The 18,409-nt window shown below is 39.3% G+C and overlaps 1 long non-coding RNA gene across 1 annotated transcript in view, besides 2 other annotated features; it reads left to right on the top strand.

Annotated features, from left to right (window-relative positions):
• The window catches only part of LOC105377475 (uncharacterized), a 37,313-nt gene extending 23,715 nt beyond the window's left edge, over nucleotides 1–13,598 (top strand). The window contains exon 5 of the long non-coding RNA XR_939315.3: nucleotides 12,953–13,598. This is a non-coding gene — a long non-coding RNA (uncharacterized LOC105377475). The remainder of the gene's footprint in view (nucleotides 1–12,952) is intronic.
• Nucleotides 5,358–6,023: an enhancer, noted in NCBI's record as "H3K4me1 hESC enhancer chr4:147912420-147913085 (GRCh37/hg19 assembly coordinates)". NCBI's record gives its function as "activates a minimal SCP1, AML or CMV promoter by ChIP-STARR-seq in naive H9 embryonic stem cells {active_cell/tissue: H9 hESC(naive)}" and the evidence as "EXISTENCE:reporter gene assay evidence [ECO:0000049][PMID:30033119]".
• Nucleotides 6,024–6,690: an enhancer, noted in NCBI's record as "H3K4me1 hESC enhancer chr4:147911753-147912419 (GRCh37/hg19 assembly coordinates)". NCBI's record gives its function as "activates a minimal SCP1, AML or CMV promoter by ChIP-STARR-seq in naive H9 embryonic stem cells {active_cell/tissue: H9 hESC(naive)}" and the evidence as "EXISTENCE:reporter gene assay evidence [ECO:0000049][PMID:30033119]".
• Nucleotides 13,599–18,409: the final 4,811 nt, after the last annotated feature.

The raw sequence follows: 18,409 nt of genomic DNA, 5'->3' as shown, positions 1-18,409 counted from the left end.
ATTGCTAACAAGCCACAGGTGCCAAGCCACATGAGCAGATGATAGCCTGATTTTGAGAAGAGAAATGACAATTCTTTACCCATCATTCATCCCAAGGTGCGCTTGTCATCTCTCATAGCACATAGCGAGTTACCTTTTTATTAGTGGCTTTGGAAACGTTTTCGCAGGGGAGTAGCAGCAGCATCCATATGTGCAAAACTGCGTGTAAATGAGACTATGCTCAATGGAAGATGTGCGATCCACCTGCCAGGAGGATGAAAGGTGTGTAGTTGAGCTCTCAGGCAATAAGATTAGGGCCTCCTTTCCTTCCTGTCTGTCTCTTCTCAATGACCAAAATGATGGGTGAATGCAGTTCTCCCATCTTTGTTCTCTTCCTCAGTTTCCCTGACCATCTAACCTCACCAGCTTGAAATAAAGTTTAAAATGCAAAATCAAGTTCATTCTATCAGCTTTCTTTAGCAAGTTTTCAATTGCTTTCTCATAAGTCTTCGTGTTTGAGCCCTACCAAAATACTTAAGATAAACAGCACAAATACTATCTACTCCTTACAGAAAGAAACTGGGTGGAGTTCAGTGAGTTTAAATGACTGGTCCATGAAAATGATGGAATTGAGAATTGAAACCAGGTATTCTGATTTATAGCCCTACATCTGCTGAGCCATATGGGTCCATCTACCATCTTATTCCAGTCCAATTCTCCTTCGTTCTGACCACCATTTTTTGGCACATTCCTTAAATCATCTCTCATGGACAAAACATCTACACCCAACGATTCACTGACTTGCCAATCAGTTTCTCTAAACCTGAATGTCTCGAGCCCCAGAACCATAATATTAACTGCTTATTCAACTGATATTCAGCACTTGGATATGACTCCAGGGTGAACACATGTGCACTTCATTTGTTCTTTCTTCTCCACCCACCCTTGTCTTAGCCTGTTCCTCGATTTGTATTTCCCATCTATACATGTCAATAGATGGCAGTATATAGCACAAGCATTTATCCAATTATCTTCAAAATCATTTTTAAAATTTTAAAATATTTTTTGTAATTTTAACTTTTATTTTAGATTCAGGGAGTACATATACAGGTTTATTACTTGGGTATTGTATTAATCTGTTTTCATGCTGCTGATAAAGACACACACGAGACTGGGCAATTTACAAAAGAAAAAGGTTTAATGGACTCACAGTTCCACGTGACTGGGGAGGCCTCACAATCATAACGGAAGGTAAAAGGCACATCTCACATGGTGGCAGACAAGAGAAGAATGAGAGACAAGCGAAAGGGGTTTCCCCTTATAAAACCATCAGATCTTGTGAGATTTTTTCACTACCACGAGAACAGTATAGGGGAAACTACCCCCATGATTCAATTATCTCCCACTGGGTCCCTCCCACAACACAAGGGAATTATGTGAGCTACAATTCAAGATGAGATTTGGGTGGAGACACAGCCAAACCATATCAGGTATATTGCCTATTGCTGATGTTTGGGGTAAAACTGATCTCATCACCCAGGTAGTGAAGATAGTACTCAATAGTTTTTCAAGCCTCACTCCTCACCCTATCTCCCCGCTCTAGTAGTCCCCAGTGTCTATTTTTCTCATCTCTGTGTCCATGAGTACCCAATATTTAGCTTCCACTTATGTGTGAGAACATGCAGTATTTAATTTTCTCTTCCTGCATTAAGTTACTTGGGATAATGGCCTCCAGCTACATCATGTTACTGCAAAAGACACAATTTTGTTCTTTTTTATGGCTGTGTAGTATTCCATGGTGTATATGTACCACATTTTCTTTATCCAACCTACTATTGATGGGTACTTGGGTTGATTCCATGTCTGCTATTGTGAATAGTGCTGCAATGAACGTGAAAGTACATGTGTCTTTTTGGTAGAATGATTTATTTTCTTTTGGATATATACCCAGTAATGAGACTGCTGGGTCAAATAGTTCTGGTTTAAATTCTTTGAGAAATCTCCAAACTGCTTTCCACAGTGTCTAAACTAATTTACATTCCTACCTATATCATATAAACGTTCTTGTTTCCCTGCAGCCTTGCCAGCATCTCTTTTTTGGTTCATGTTTTGTTTTTTGCTTTTACTTTTTAATAATTGCCATTCCGACTGGTGTGAGATGGTATCTCATTGTGGTTTTGATTTGCATTTCTGTGATGATTAGCGATGTGGAACTTTTTTTCATGTGTTTGTTGGCTGCTTGTATGTTTCAAAATCATTTCTGATACCTTTCTCTCTGTAAAGCCAACTGGATACCATGTCCTATCAATTTTATTTTTAATGATCTCAAGATTCTGTATCTTCCGCTCTGTCGTCTTGGCTACTGCTTTAGTTCAGGTTTTCATCTTCTGTCTCCCACCTGGACTCCCACAAAAGCATGTGAACTTTAGTTTCTTTTCACTTTCTGATTCTCAACAAACCACCCTGTGTGATAGGGCAGGGGGAGTAGATGAGAGAAAACTTTTCTGCATTTTTCAATCTCATCGTTGAAGTGCCTACGTGTTCTGTCGTGGTTTGGCCACTTCCTGAGGGTGCCATTCCCTGGTCCTGGGAATGGTGGTATGTTTTGGGAGTTGGCAACTGTAGCAGTAACTTCACAACTTAGTAGCAGCTCCCTTAATGGCTCAATTCAGAATCATGGCTCCCAAAGTCGTTTCTAAAAGCTCATCTTACCATTGATTTCCTCAGCCTTCCCAATGATATATAAGCCATTTAATATTCCAAAATACATTCATTTCTACTTAAACTTGGTAGAATAACTTCTGTTCTCTGCCCCTGAACCCTCTCCCTTAACAATACAGTTTGTCACATTTTCCATTAAGACTATTCTGATAATTCCAGAATTGCAACACAGAAGAAATTACCCCTCCTGTAAACATTTACCTCTTACTTTTTGAAGCAATGGTTCTCAAATTTTGCTGCACATTAAAATCACCCAGGAAGTTTTTAAAGACCCTGATGTCCATGCTGCACCTCTTACCAATTAAATCAGAATTTCTGAAGGTGGAACTGAGACATCTAGATTATTCTAAACTACCCAGGGGTGTTCAGCCTGCAGCCAAATTGAAAAGTCAGTCATTGGAATACTTGTTAGACATCTATGCCGTTATACTATACTGAAGAGCGTGGTATACAAGATGAAATACAATTGGCATCAGAAATTGTTTTCTCCCACTTAGAACTCATTTCATCGAGATACTTTGAAACAGAGAAAAGGAACTAAAAAGTTAAATTCATGAGCTCATTTTAACATTGTTCAAATGATTTCCTAGATGAGAAGAGCATATGCTCAAGCATTTGGAGAACTTAAATATAGCTTATCTTAACTCAGATGTGTTGTATTCAATATTTTGAAACAAACACTAGAAGCTACTTTCAACTTCTCTACTGTGTCTAAGATAGAGACTGGTTCCAAGTGTCTGTAAACTCTATCTTGCTCTTCTGAACAAAACTCCCTATTTGTCCTGTCCCCTATTGCATTGTAATTTCTGGGGTTATGTCCCTGGGCTACGAAGCAAGTTTGAATTGTACAATGCCATGTTTATTGAAAATGTATCTATTAGTGTAAATTATTAATTTATAAAATAATGAAATTTCACTGATTAGATGACTGTCCTGTTGCCTTATACACACTCTATTAAAGCATTTCAAAGTAAATGACCAAAGCATTTTTAAAACTTGCATAAAGACTAATAACACTGTTATTGTTTCAGATTACTTCCTTTGATAAGGCAAATATATATTTATCTCTAGGCATTAGGAAAAACCAGTATTAAAAAGTATATATATTTTCTCTTAAGATCTTTGAATTAAAACTGATATTGTATATGTGTTCAAACAAACTGGATCATGTGAGCAAATAAAGATTTAACTTTAGGCTGGGCACAGTGGCTCACACCTGTAATCCCAGCACTTTGGGAGGCCGAGGTGGGCGGATCACTAGGTCAAGAGATCAAGACCATCCTGGCCAACATGGTGAAACCCCGTCTCTACTAAAAATACAAAAATTAGCTGGGAGTGGTGGTGCGCACCTGTAGTCCCAGCTACTCAGGAGGCTGAGGCAGGAGAATCGCTTGAACCCAGAAGGCAGAGGTTGCAGTGAGCCGAGATCATGCCACTACACTCCAGCCTGGTGACAGAAGGAGACTCCATCTCAAAAAAAAAAAAAAAAAAAAAAAAGATGTAACTTAAAATATAAAATATCTTATTCATATAATGGATGGATAACAATTAGTTTGAAGTGAAAACAATTAAAACAAAAGATACTTTGAAGCCTAGGAAATCTCGTCATGTGTTTCATCAGTGTAAATCAGCTATCAGAGCCCAACTGAGTTGGAGTGGAGAGAGCTGTGTCAAGAGAGAGGCACATGTATATGAAATCATACATTGATGATCATGAAAACACAAGAAAGAACCAGTGCATTTTTATATATTGCACTTAGAGGGCCAAATAGAGTTTAATGACAGTCTAAATAAATTAAGTGAGAAACTTGCTGTTAATACTAGGAAAAATAGCCAAAATATAAAGCCCAATTTATACAAAGATCCATCAAATCCAAATTCTTGCTTGTTCAAGCTTGTGAAAAATAGCTTTACTATTTTACCAGATGAATCACTCATTTAATTGAGGTGAAGTTACATACAGTCAGCCCTCAGTATGCAAGGGTTCCACATCCACAATTCAAACAATGTTGGATAGAAAATATTCAGGAAGAAGAGTAAAAAATAACAATACAACAATAAAAACAGCACATTTAAAAACACAGTATAACAACTATTAAATAGTATCCATATAGTGTGGTGACTAACCATATGGCCTAAGTGTGTAGTAGGTTATACTGTCTAGGCTGGTGGAAGTATACTCTGTGATGCTCACACAATGATGAAATCCTAACCAAGCATCTTTCAGAAAATATCCCTGCAGTTAAATGTCACATGACTATATTCACCCATATCTCTTGTAATACCCCTTCCCTTATAGCCTTCTATGACTGATATTAGTATAATCTCTTCAGCTTTCTTATTATTAGTGTGTACTTGTCACAAAGCTACCTATTCTCTTCACTTCTAACTAATATAAAGTGAATTTCAATATTCAAGATGGGTAACTAGACATAGCCAGGAAGAATGTCTGCCACTGAGAGACTGGGACATCTGGAAGACTGGTGAACTCTGAGCCATCTTCAGAGGGAAGGTATTGAGAGTGGATGGAGGGAGGACACAGGTGCTGGGCTGAAGAGAAAAGAAGCTGGGAACCCGACATGGCGCTACTGCACACTGGGACTCATTCCTGGCCCACAGCGACTCCTGGAGAAGGGGTGAGCTCAGCAGGCAATCAGCATCCTGCTCTCACTGGGGACCTCTGGAATCCTGTCAGCAGGAGACCTCAGGACCTCCATGGACACTTGAGCTGGCAGGGAGAGCTGCTTACAGAGGTGGTAGGGGCAGGACTCCAGCCAGTGTGGAATCCAGAGGGTTTGGTGTGGGAACGTGTGCAGTGGAGCATGGCCAGGGATGCCCATCCCCCAAGGCTTGGCTTGTGCCTCTAGGAGACTTTAGCCTTAGGGTGACTGACAGCCTGGGACAGAGCAGGGTGATCTTGCCTGTGAGATGGGGCCAGCCCAATCTGAGCAACCGCCTGTCTGCTGGCCTGTCCTAGAGCCCCAGTTTGGTTGCATCTGCTTGCAGTACAGCCTCAGATGCCCAACAGGGGTGCTTCCTGGGGGCCTTCATTGTAGTTCCCCACCAGCGGACTGGGCCTGACTATCAGCTACAGCAGAGTGGCCCTGTCAATTTCCATCAGCACACACACTCACACTGCCTTACCCACTGAAGCCTCCTCCAGGCTGCTTTGCTGGCATGCACTCGCCCACAGCCACCCCTTATCACTTTGCCAGTGCACACACATGGGGATGGACATCGCCTCCCCTCCCTCGCCAATTTGTATGTGTGTGTGCACCCTGCCATGCCACTGTTGCTGGTGTGAGCACACCCCACACCCCCCAGCTGTACTGTCATTGCTGACACAAATGCATGCTAAGATTCCATCAATCCCAGGCCCTCCATATGTAGACATCACCACCAGTGAAAACACATGCCGAGAGACCAGCAACCCCGCCCCCACACCATACTGCCATCACCACTGCTGAAAACATACGCACAGAGGCTGGCAGCTCCGCACTCTCCAGCAACCCACCCTTGTTGCTGCAGCCACTGGTGTGAGCATGCACAGGAATACCACAACCCCACTCCCACTAGTACCCCACAACAGCAAACATGCATGCACCCCACCACATTGCCACTGCTGCTGGCATGCACGAATGAGCATGAATCCTGCTGCCACCACCTCAGTGAAGCACTTTGGCTGCCATCATCCATCAAAGTGCTGTGGCCAGCAGTCTGGGAATACCTCAGCCCCTCCAGTTCAGTAGGTTCTGAGCCTCTAGCAAACAAAGAACAAAGCTGTGGGCTGGTACCATTTCTCCAGAGTTAGAGCACAGAGGCCAAGAGTGCTGAGCTGAGACTTGGCTTCCTAAAATCTTTCAGAAATGAAGCTAGCTGACTGAACCCACCTTATACTACAATCAAACACTGAGAGCCTCAAAGAGGATAAAAGCAAAAAACAAAACAAAACAAACAAACAAACATCCTGCATTCAAAGGACAGCAATGTCAAAGATTGAAGGAACATCAGCCCACACAGGCGAGAAAGAACCAGCACAAGAACTCTGGAAACTCAAAAAGCTAGAGTTCCTTAGCATTGGTTATTAATTAGGCTGAAATGGCTGAAATGATAGAAATAGAATTCAGAATATGGATAGGAATGAAGATCATTGAGATTCAGGAGAAATTCAAAACTCAAAGGATTCTAAGGAATACAATAAAATGATACAGGAGATAAAAGATGAAATGACCATTTTTAAGAAAGAAACAAACTGACCTGATAGAACTGAAAAACTCACTTCAAGAATTTCAGAATACAATCGCAAGTATTAAGAGCAGAATCAACCAAGCAGAGGAAAGAATCTCAGAACTCAAAGACAAGTTCTCTGAAATAACTCAGACAAAAATAAAGAAAAAAGATTAAATAAGAATAAATAAATCTACCATGAAATATGGGATTATGTAAAGAGAACAAATGTGTCTCACTGATGTCTTGGAAAGAGAGGAGAGAAAGCAAGCAACTTGGAAAACATACTTCAAGATATCATCCATGAAAATTTCCCTAACTTTGTTAGAGAGGCCAACATTCAAATTCAGGAAGTGCAGATAATTTGTGCAAGATACTATACAAGATGACAATCCTCAAAATACATAGTCATCAGATTGTCCAAGGTTGAAATGAAAGAAAAAATGTTAAAGGCAGCTAGAGGGAAGGGGCGGGTTACCTACAAAGGGAACCCCATCAGGCTAAGGGTGGAAATTTTGGCAGAAATCCTGTAAGCCAGAAGAGACTGGAAGACTATAGTCACATTTTTAAAGAAAAGAATTTGCAACCAAGAGTTTCATATCCAGTGAAACTAATTTTCATAAGCAAAGGAGAAATAATATCCTTTTCAGACAAGCAAATGCTAAGGGAATTCATTATGATCAGACCTGCCTTACAAGAGGCCTAAAAGGGAATACTAAATATGGAAAGGAAAGACTATTACTGGACACTACAAAAACACACTTAAGTACATAGATCATTGACACTATAAGGCAACCACATGAACCAAGTCAGCATAATAACCAGCTGACATGATGACAGTATCAAATTGGCACATATCAATATTAACCTTGAATGTAAATGGGTTAAATGTCCCAATTAAAAGGCACAGAATGGCAAATTGGATAAAGAGACAAAACTCAATGATATATAGTCTTCAAGAGACCCATCTTACATGCAGTGACACCCATAGGTTCAAAGTAAAGGGTGAAGAAAATTGACCAAACAAATGGAAAACAGAAAATGACAGGGATTGCTATCCTAATTTCAGACAAAACAGTCTTTAAACCAGCAATGATGAAAACAGACAATGGCACTACATAATTCAGCAAGAAAACCTAACTATCCTAAATATATTTAAACTTAGTACAGGAGCATCGGTCACAAAGCAAGTTACTAAAGACCTACAAAGATACCTAGATAACCACAAAATAATAGTGGGAGACTTCAACACCCCACTGATAGGATTAGGCAGATTATCAAGGCAGAAAACTAACAAAGATATTTGGGACCTGGACTCAACACTTCAACAAAAGGACCTAATAGATATCTACAAAACCCTCCAACTGAAAATATCAGAATATATATTCTTCTCATCTTTACGTAGCACACACTCTAAAATTGACCACACAAACAGCCATAAAACAATCCTCAGCAAAGTAAAAATGCCGCAAATTATACCAACCACACTTTCAGACTACAGCACATATAAAAAAACAGAAATCAATACTAAGAAAATTGCTCAAAAACCGTATCATTACATGGAAATTAAACAACCTGCTCCTGAATGACTTTTGGGCTAACAATGAAATTGAGGCAGAAATCAAGAAATTCTTTGAAACTAATAAGGGGAAAATACAACATATCAGAATATCTGGGACACAGCTAAAGCAGTGTTAAGAGGGAAGTTTATAGTGCTAAATGCCCACATCAAAAAGTCAAAAAGATCTCAGATTAGCAAGCCATCATCACACCTAGAGGAATTAGAGAACAAAGAGCAAATGAACCCCAAAGCCAGCAGAAGATAAGAAAAAAACAAAATGAGAGGTGACTTGAAGAAAATTGAAATATGAAAAACCATAAAAAAGATCCACAAGTCCAGGGGTTGGTTATTTGAAAGAATAAATAGATAGATTGCTGGGTAGACTAATAAAGAAAAAACATAGATTCAAATAAATACAATCAGAAAGACAAATTTTTTTCCAATTTTTATTTTAGGTTTAGAGGGTATATGTGCAGGTTTGTTACATGGGTATAAATCATTCTACCATAAAGACACAGTCAATTTTGTTTTAAAGAAATTAAGATACAAGCAGAAAACTTTTCTGTTTTACCCACATATTCCTCATTTCTGGTGTTTTTCACTCCTTCCTGTAGATCCATGCTCCCGTTGGGTATCATGGTTTTCCACCCAAAAAACTTTATCATTTATTGTAATTCAAGTCAGCTGTTGATGAAAGTTCTTAGCATTTGCTTATTTGAAAATGTCCTTATTTTGCTTTCATTTTTAAAGAGTATTTTCTTTGCATTTAGAATTCTAATTTGACAGGTCTTTTCTTTCAGTGCTTCAATAGTAACATCACTTGATATTCTGGCTGGCATTATTTCTTTTTCTTTTTTTCTTTCTTTTTTTTTTTTAAGATGGAGTCTCACACTGTTGCCCAGGCTGGAGTGCAGTGGCACAATCTTGGCTCACTGCAACCTCCGCCTCCCGGGTTCAAGGGATTCTCCTGCCTCAGCCTCCCGAGTAGCTGGGATTACAGGTGCCCGCCACCATGCCTAGCTAATTTTTTTTTTTTGTATTTTTAGTAGAGATGGGGTTTCACTACATTGGCCAGGCTGGTCTCAAACCTCTGACCTTGTGATCTGTCCCACTTGGCCTCCCAAAGTGCTGGGATTACAGGGTAAGCCGCTGCACCTGGCCAATTTCTTTGAATATTTTTTCTGCTCTATCTACACTCTCTCTCTCTTCTCCTTTTGGATTCCAAATACACATATATTAAACCTCTTGCTGTTCCCACATGTTATCTCTGGTCCTGTAGTTTGTTTGTTTGTTTGTTTTCAGTTTTTTTCTTCCCTCTGTTTTTAGTTTGATTGTTTCTTTTAATTGGTTTTTAAGTTCAGTGACCTTTCTTACGCACTGCTGTTAAAACTATGCATTAAATTTGTCTTTTCTTATATTGTATTTTTCAATTCTAGCATTTCCATTCATCTTTTGATAGTTTTATTTTTCCATTGTCATACTATACCTGGCCACCCATTATGTCCATTTTTAAATTCTTGAACATATTTGCAATAGCTGCTTTAAAGGTCTTTTCTGCTAATTGCAACATATTTGTCAACTCTGGATTTGTTTTTTCCCTGTCATAGTTTTATGTCACAGTTTTCTAATTCTTTGCCTATCTAATTATGTTTTGTTGTATGCCAAACATTGTTAATGCTACGTTGTTAAAAATCTGTATTTTATTGTCTTCCTTTAAAGAGTGCTGAGGTTTTTTTTCTTTTTTTTTCTGACAAGCAGTTAAATTACTGGTGGACCAGCCTGATCCTATCAAAGCTTGGTTTCAGATTTTGTTAGGGCAGTTAGAGTATCCCTGGCTCTAGGGCTAGAGAAGCTCAATGCCAAAATGTGGCCTTTCTGGATTCTTCAGGAATGCCTGAGTTTTCCGGAAGATTTCTCCATGTCATTGGCTGGAATTCCAACCTCTCCCAGTCCTGTGTGATCTCTAGAATCCCTGTTCAGTTCACAGCGCACCTCACACTATCATTGTTCCCTGCCAAAACAGGTCTTTCACAGTCTCTCATTGCACAAGTATAGCTTACTATCCAGCAAAACACGTAAAAAGGCCCAGCTGCAACCTCAGTCATCTCATTATGTGGGTACAAGCTAAAAATGGATGGCATTTGTTTGACAACTATAGTCAGAGATATCCCTGAAACATGTGGAGAATGAAAAATTGGCTGAGCTATGAGCAGTGCACTTTCTCATGCACTTTGTGTGGAAGAACATATAAATATTTCTGAGCAGTGGCCATCGTCCTAACAAATTGCTCAGGGACTTCGAGGGGAAAAAGACTGGATGATCTGAGAAAAGTAGTTCTGAATAGAGGCATTTGGATAGACATATGAGAGTGAACACAAAGCAAAAAGGTTTTTGTACCACCTATTAATGCCCACCAAAAAGCATCTATCCCTGAAGAGATACTAAAAAAAGAAATAGATAATATGAGTTGGTGAATTGATTTAGCCAGCCTTCATTGTCAACTACCCCAGGCATGTGATGGCATTATAGGATATTATGGAGGTGACATTGCCCCAAAGCATGGACTCCCACTTACCAAGGCTGATATAGCTATGGCTACCTCTGAATACCCAACCTTCCAGCAACAGAGACCAGTGATAAATTTCCAACATGACACGTTCCTCATGGAATACTCCTGGAAGGTCCAGAGGTTCACAGGGATGGATACCTAAACTAAATATGGGTTTGCCTTTTCTGTCCCAGGGCAACACTGTGTGTGTCCCACTCTATTATTTGGTGGTTTATGGAATGAGTGATCCACAGGCAAGAAATCTCACAAAGCATAGCCTCTAACCATAAGACCAACTTCATAGTGAAATGAGCACAGAAGTGGATCTGAGATCATGGGATTCAGTGGTTGTATCACATACGCTACCAACCAGATGCAACTGGTCTCATACAAGTCTGGAAGAGTCTTCTAAAGGTGCCAATGGAAGCACCAGCTCAGAGGAAACACTGAAAGGTAGATGTCATTCTCTAGGATGCAGTGCATTTAATTAACTAGAGATCCAATATGCTGTATTCTCTATAGGAAAAAGGCATGGGTTAGAGCATCAAGGGGTAGAAGCAAGAATAGCCTCACTTGTCATAACTCCCAGTGACATACTGGTAGTTTCATGCTTCCTGTCCCTACAACTCTGGACTCTTCAGGGCTGGAAGTCTGGGTCCCCAGTAGGCACGTGCTCTGCTAGGGAACATAGCATTGAACTATAAGTTATGGCTGCCTCCAGAGCACATTGAACTCATTATTCCCAGACCCCTGGTAAGGAGAGGAGTCACCTTACTGGCAAGAGTAATTTTCCCTGATCAGCAAGAGGAGGCAATGCTGTTTTTACCCAATAGGGGCATGGAGGAATGCATATGAAACACAGGTGCTCTATTTGGTCACCACCTGGTTCTCCCTTTACTTGCTGTATCTGTGAATGGACATTTGTAGCAACCTCAGGCTTAGACAAATGTGATTTTCAGGGGTTTGGATACTTCAGAAATGCTACCAAGACTTGCCTAGGGAATAGCTGAGTGTAAAGGGAGTTGGAATGCATAGTGGAGGAGAGTCAGGGTAAGTCTCAGTTATGGCCCCAACATCAACAGGAGCAATGGGAGCAGTAGCTCATCCCAGTCACCTCCCTATTCTGAGTTTTCCCACAGGAAGGAAAGACCACAGAAACCACAGAGGAGCTACTCTACAAATCTGCATAAAAGTAAATCTGTGTGGCCTAAGAGTGGCCTGTGGCAGCCATGAGAAACACACCTTGTAGATCTGCAACTGTGTGGGAGTATACTTGACCAAAGGCCCCAGCTGCTGCCTTTTAAATCCATTGCCACATTTCTCTCTGATGAACCTATGCTCTCAACATGCTGCTTCCGGTCAATGATGAGCGCATTGGTTCTGCTAAGGCAGGACAATTCCTGGAAGACACTGGCATCCTCTGACAGCAAATTTGATTTTGAGGACTCCCCATGGCCTTGCTTAGACTGTACAGCACTCAGACTTCCTTCCCTCTCTCCTCTCTGGTCAGACTTGCACTGCAGTCTGATGGTGCTCCCAGTCTAACCTAGCTTCGACCTATTTTCTCAAACAGAGTATTTCTCCTAATAGAATTCTTGCCTGTTAATCCTGTCTTAGTGTCTGCTTCTTTCAGAAGCAGGATTAAGAACTTGATAGTTTTCTTGGTATGACGTGAAGACTTTGAAGGATTGAAAGGAGGGGAATGATATGATCAATTACTTGTTCAGCCAGTGGTGTTCAATATTATGTGCCTAATATTTTATGAGGTCACTTCAGATACAAAGCCAAGAACTGAGAGAATAGTGAAGGAGTGCTTTGCCTTGTCCCCTTCCAATTACTAGTGTCCCTGATTATGACTGTAGAAAATTAATATGGATTGTGTCTTCCATCTACAATCTATTCTTGTCTTATTCCAGTCATCACAACTCCATCTTTCTCCCTCACGAAACTGTTTCTCCTGAATGCCCATGAAAATGTTATCACATAGGAAATATTTGTGAGACCTGATCTCTAATAATTATCAGCACTGAACGACTTTTGAATGAAGAAAATGGTAAGAATTATCTCATCTCTTAGGATTCTTCTATTTGGTAACTATTAATACATTTGCTAATTTTTTCATTTACTAGCAACAAATACAAGTTTGCAATGGTTTAATGTTTACCTTTTTAAAAATAACACTTTGGTTTTCAGTGTGTTGAAAGGAGAAAGCAAAAAGCGATTGTATTTTTAAAAGCTTTGGTGTATTGTCACTGAGAAATGAACTGGACCAGCCATATTCCCAAATTTGTTTTTTTAAACAAGTGGTAAATGGTAATTAAGTAATCCACCTTGAACAACATTTCAAGTTTTACGTTTATTCAGGATGCTATGGCCAAGATGGCTCCCAGACAGTTTTTTTCACTAAAGATTACATTTTTGCAACAATTTTCATTGTGTTGGTCAACTTGTGAGCAAGAATCATAGTTTGGAGACTTTGACTTCAAAAACACCTCAAAACTTGGTTTCTTCTGCTTCAAGATTAGTATATCAACTAAAATGATTTAAGAAAAAATGAGTGAAAAATACAGAACAACTCTGTAAATTGTCAGCTATGTTATCATTTTCTCTCCTCTTTCCTTCTATATCCTTTTAATTGTCTTGACTTAATGACTTTTGCTTGTTGTGTAGGCAAAGTGTTTCTGACAGCGATATAACAATGGCATCACATTTGTAGAATCCTTTATTGTTTTCGAAGCACACACATCACACAAGTTATTTCATGTAATCTCTTAGAAATTATGAGAATAAAATAGAACAAAGACTATTAGCTCCGTTTTACAAATATAGAAACTGAAGCACAGAAAGGTTAAGAAACCCCCCGAAGGCTACATAGTGTTCATATGAAAGCCCCAATATTCGTATAGAAGCTTTATAATCATCAATGTCACACACATGGAGTTTTGTATATTCTACATTTACAGAAATATGGATCGAAGTTAGTAACCAAGCTCGGAAGTCACATGTTGCATGTGACATACAAACTGAAGCATATATTACCACAACTATTTTTCAAAAAGAAGCATGGCAAAATTACATCGGATTTTGAATGTGCTAAACACAGTTTGCAACAGATTATTTTCATTCCCCAAAGAGACAAAAATGATGCTGCCGAATCCCTCCCACATTCAAGTGATTGGGCAAGCTGAACTGATCATATTTTACCAAATTATTCAACTTGTCCAACTTTGGACTAAGTCATGATTCTTTCCCATCAGGATTGTTCAACTGTATGCCAGAGAGTTGGCAACATTGGAGTTTGCTTAACATTCTCAGCTCTCTTCTCCTTTGATCTTCATCTCCTTTCTTTGCCTTTCCTTTTCTTCATTAAGACTCATCCCCTGGCCCACTCCAGCTGAAAGAGACTTTTGTTGTGGACTAAATCTGTCTATTTGGCCTAATTAAATGGTTAACTTGGCATAACAGAAAGCATAGGCGAAGGATAATTAAATGTCCAGTCAACTACCTATGACTGATGAAATTTTCGCTTGGCATTTACATTATGCATTGCTTATGTAGATAGCAAGTCCAGGCTGGGCACAGTGGCTCACGCCTGTAATCTCAGCACTTTGGGAGGCTGAGGTGGGTGGATCACGAGGTCAGGAGATCGAGACCATCCTGGCTAACACGGTGAAACCCTGTCTCTACTAAAAATACAAAAAATTAGCTGGGCATGGTGGCATGTGCCTGTAATCCCAGCTACTTGGGAGGCTGAGGTAGGAGAATAACTTGAACCCTGGAGGTGGAGGTTGCAGTGAGCCAAGATCGCACCACTGTACTCCAGCCTGGGCGACAGAGCGAGACTCCATCTCAAAATAAAATAAAATAATAAAATAAAATAGATAGCAAGTCCACTAGGCAGAAGCTTTATGTTTTTGTAAGCTGTATCATATAGTCAAAATTTCATCAGCACTTTTTGATATAAAATAAGAAGATAGTAAGCTACATGGACATCTACATTGTTAGTAATGCTGCATTATTACATCCACACCATACAAGCAATGATGCATCAGAAAGTAGAACTCCAAGGCTATTGGTGATGAACTATCACATGGGTTTTCTCCTCTAAAAGTATCATACTAACATTTAGCCTTTAATTCGTGGTAATGACATACCAAGTTTTGTACCAAAAAGAAAAATGACAATCTTTTCCATACTATATTTGCTATCTGTAATTTACGGAGACAAAAATAAATAAATAAATACTCAAGCCCACAGTGAAACTGCCCACACACTCCTGTGCTCTGAAGAGAATGTTCAGCAGCATTTGCTGATAGGGCAGGCAGTTAGCTAAGGCACTGTGGGAGGCTGGATCTGGCCTTTGCTCGGTTCATGTAATCAGAGACCAGAATGTTCTTAACCTTTTATGGGTGAGTGAACAACAAATTAGGAATTTCTAATTGCCTGCTCTCCGAGGGCCCTCTCCCAACTAAGTAGTGAAGGTATTAGCAGAAAAATGTTGTTCATCCACGGTGATGTTAACTTTTTGTGAAATTAAGAGACCTTTATTTGAAAACAGCTTCAATAGCTAGAGGCATAGAATATAAGGAATGTACTCCAGGCTGTAATAATTGCTGGCTGCCCTGGGAAATGGCTTCAAGGCCTGAGCGGTTGTGGCTCCATGCAAACACATCCTCTAATTATTGAAAAACCTGTGTAGAGTCTCCGTGTTAATCAGTCTCTCAGAGACTTCAGCTTTATGTGGTTAGTGCAGATTTATGGCACTTTTCTTTTTCTGTTATTAAAACTGATATTTCACAAGGAAGAAACTATCTCCAGACAACTGTTAAAATGCAAAGTTTCAATCATAAAAGAAAACTGCAAGATTATTCTGAGAATATTCCATAGAGAATTCCAAACAAGGATAAGAAACAACACATCAAAGGCGGGGGGAAAATTCAAAAAATAAAAAGGGCTGATTCTACAATATTAAAAAAAAAGACTCAACAGTTGGCCCATAGAATCAAGAGGTTATGGTATAATTAATTTAAGTGCTTGTTACAATTATGGAAATAAACATTTCATGCATACATGCCAACCGAATTATACATAATTATGAAAGCACCAAACTAATTGGAACATTTGGATTAACATAGTAGGAACCAAATTGCCTTTTAAAGCCAGTGATATAGTGCTTTGCATGTATCTTGCCTGTACACGGCAAATGTTAGTTAATAATGGAAAGAAGCATATTTGAAAACACATGTTTATATGAAGTTGGCATTTTCTTTCTCTTGTAAAGCATATACATATTATAGGTTAAATTATAGTGAAATACTATGGAAGACATTCAAGGCTAGGACAGGCTGGTTACACCAGTTGTCACTAATCCATAGATGAAGAATGACGGGCAGAGACTCATAGTCCGGGACTTGAGTCTCCCTCCACCCCGCCACCAGCCATATTCTCAATACTCCAGGCTCAGTGGGATAATATGGCTGGATGGCAAGAACCGGCAATTTGAGAAAGATATAAGGAACATTGTGCTTAGCTGAGATGAGGAATATTGAGTATGAGATTCTTCCTCCCCTAAATTTCAAAGTTTGTCTGGACCCTCCCAGCTCCCTTTTGGTATTTTTAAAGTTAGTCTATTAGTATACTTTCTCCTCTCCCAGATGTACCACATCATTTTACCACATGAAGGCTGTACAAATCTTTATAATCTATTGCTATATAGTAGAGAAGTGCCCTATGATTTCAAAAAAAAAAGAAAAACAAAAATCCTCTTTCTACTTTTCTTCTGTCCTTCAAAACTCACATTCCTACAGAGAAGGTGACCATAGCTTAACTTCAGAAAAACAGTCTGATTAAACTACATGTATTATAGTTGAAATGACTGATAATATCCTTTTAATTCTCCCAATAGTAACATCTTGTTAACCCAAACGAGCCAGTAATTATATGTAATTAGAGTTCCCCAGACATTACCATTACATTAGATAAGGGATCATAGTAACAGCAGTGGAGCTAATCTCACCAGCTTCTCTGACTCTGCTTGTTCATCCATTACCTTATGCTCTTGCAAAATCTCACTCCCTGATCTCTAACATCTTGAAAAATGTTTTATATGTATCTAGGTACAAGTTAGCCAGGTATAGTCTACAGTGCATCCACCATGGTCTTCCTGTCTGACTAGAGCCACTTTCATGTATATGTCACCTCCAAACCCCCTCACTATGGCTACGATTCATGGTACCTTCCATAACAAGGTTGGCACCCAAACCAAAAGTGCTATGTATTGGTACTCCCTGAGAGTATTAGGAACACTCCGGGTCTTCTGTGATTTAAAGCCATCGTATTTGTTATCCAGTAGTGAGGAGAATGTTTTCCTTTCTAATGCTCACATTGATACTAAAGTAACCCTAGATACCTGTGTTTCATGGAGTCTCATAAAAATATTCCCTTAGCTTCTTCCTTCAAGCATGCTCTACATAGAACTCAAATGCAAATCACTGGAAGCAGGTCATATGAAGCAATAGATCCTCAATTCCAAGTCACTGTCCATTTTATTGATAGAATATTAAAAATCACCATCACTTACCATGGTATCATTTTTCAGTGTAGTATTTTAACATGTTGCTGAATTATAGTTTACAATATTTTTCTTACAGATCCAGGAGTTCATTAGTGGGCTTTTAAAGTGTTCTTATGAATCTGTGTCTTCTCTCCTTTTCTCAGTTACTCTTAGAAATTTTCATGTGGGCTTTGGGTGGAATAGGGCAGCAAGGCCAAAGGCTTTCACCATTGCGGATTTCTCCACAAGATGAGGAAAAGCATCTATTGTTTTATGACTTTTTTATCTTCTTATTGGGTCTACAATAAGAAGTCTGATTTAGAATCATTAAATCCTGGTATCCCATTGCTAGAAATGACCATAGACATCATTAAGTCAATCAATGTCTTTTCTCTTACATATGGGAGAGCTGGCCACCAGAGAGGTTAAAGGATGTGTTCTAGGCCACAAAAACTATCAGTCATGTTATAACCATGGTTACTTAATTCCTTCAGTTCAATATTTTCCATTTGGTTTATAACCAGCCCCAATTTCCAGCTAATGGACATATTTTTAATATAGTAGAAGGATATAAAATTGAAGTATATATAATAGATGTACATAGAGAATAGAACATATTTACTCCCAAAGATACTTTTGCATGAATTGGCTGTCCATATGACCTGCAATAAGTTATCTAGCCCCTCTATGCCTCTGTTTCCACATCATTACTGAGCTGGACTAGATTTCTATAGTACCTGAATGGGCCCACCAGGATCCCAGACCAAGATTCTTAAAAGCTAAGTCATTTTGAAGTCTTCAGAAAACCGCAGATGTGGCA

This window comes from Homo sapiens, chromosome 4 (genome assembly GCF_000001405.40).
Source record: "Homo sapiens chromosome 4, GRCh38.p14 Primary Assembly".
Lineage (NCBI taxonomy): Eukaryota > Metazoa > Chordata > Mammalia > Primates > Hominidae > Homo > Homo sapiens.
This window is presented reverse-complemented; position numbering and strand designations above follow the sequence as displayed.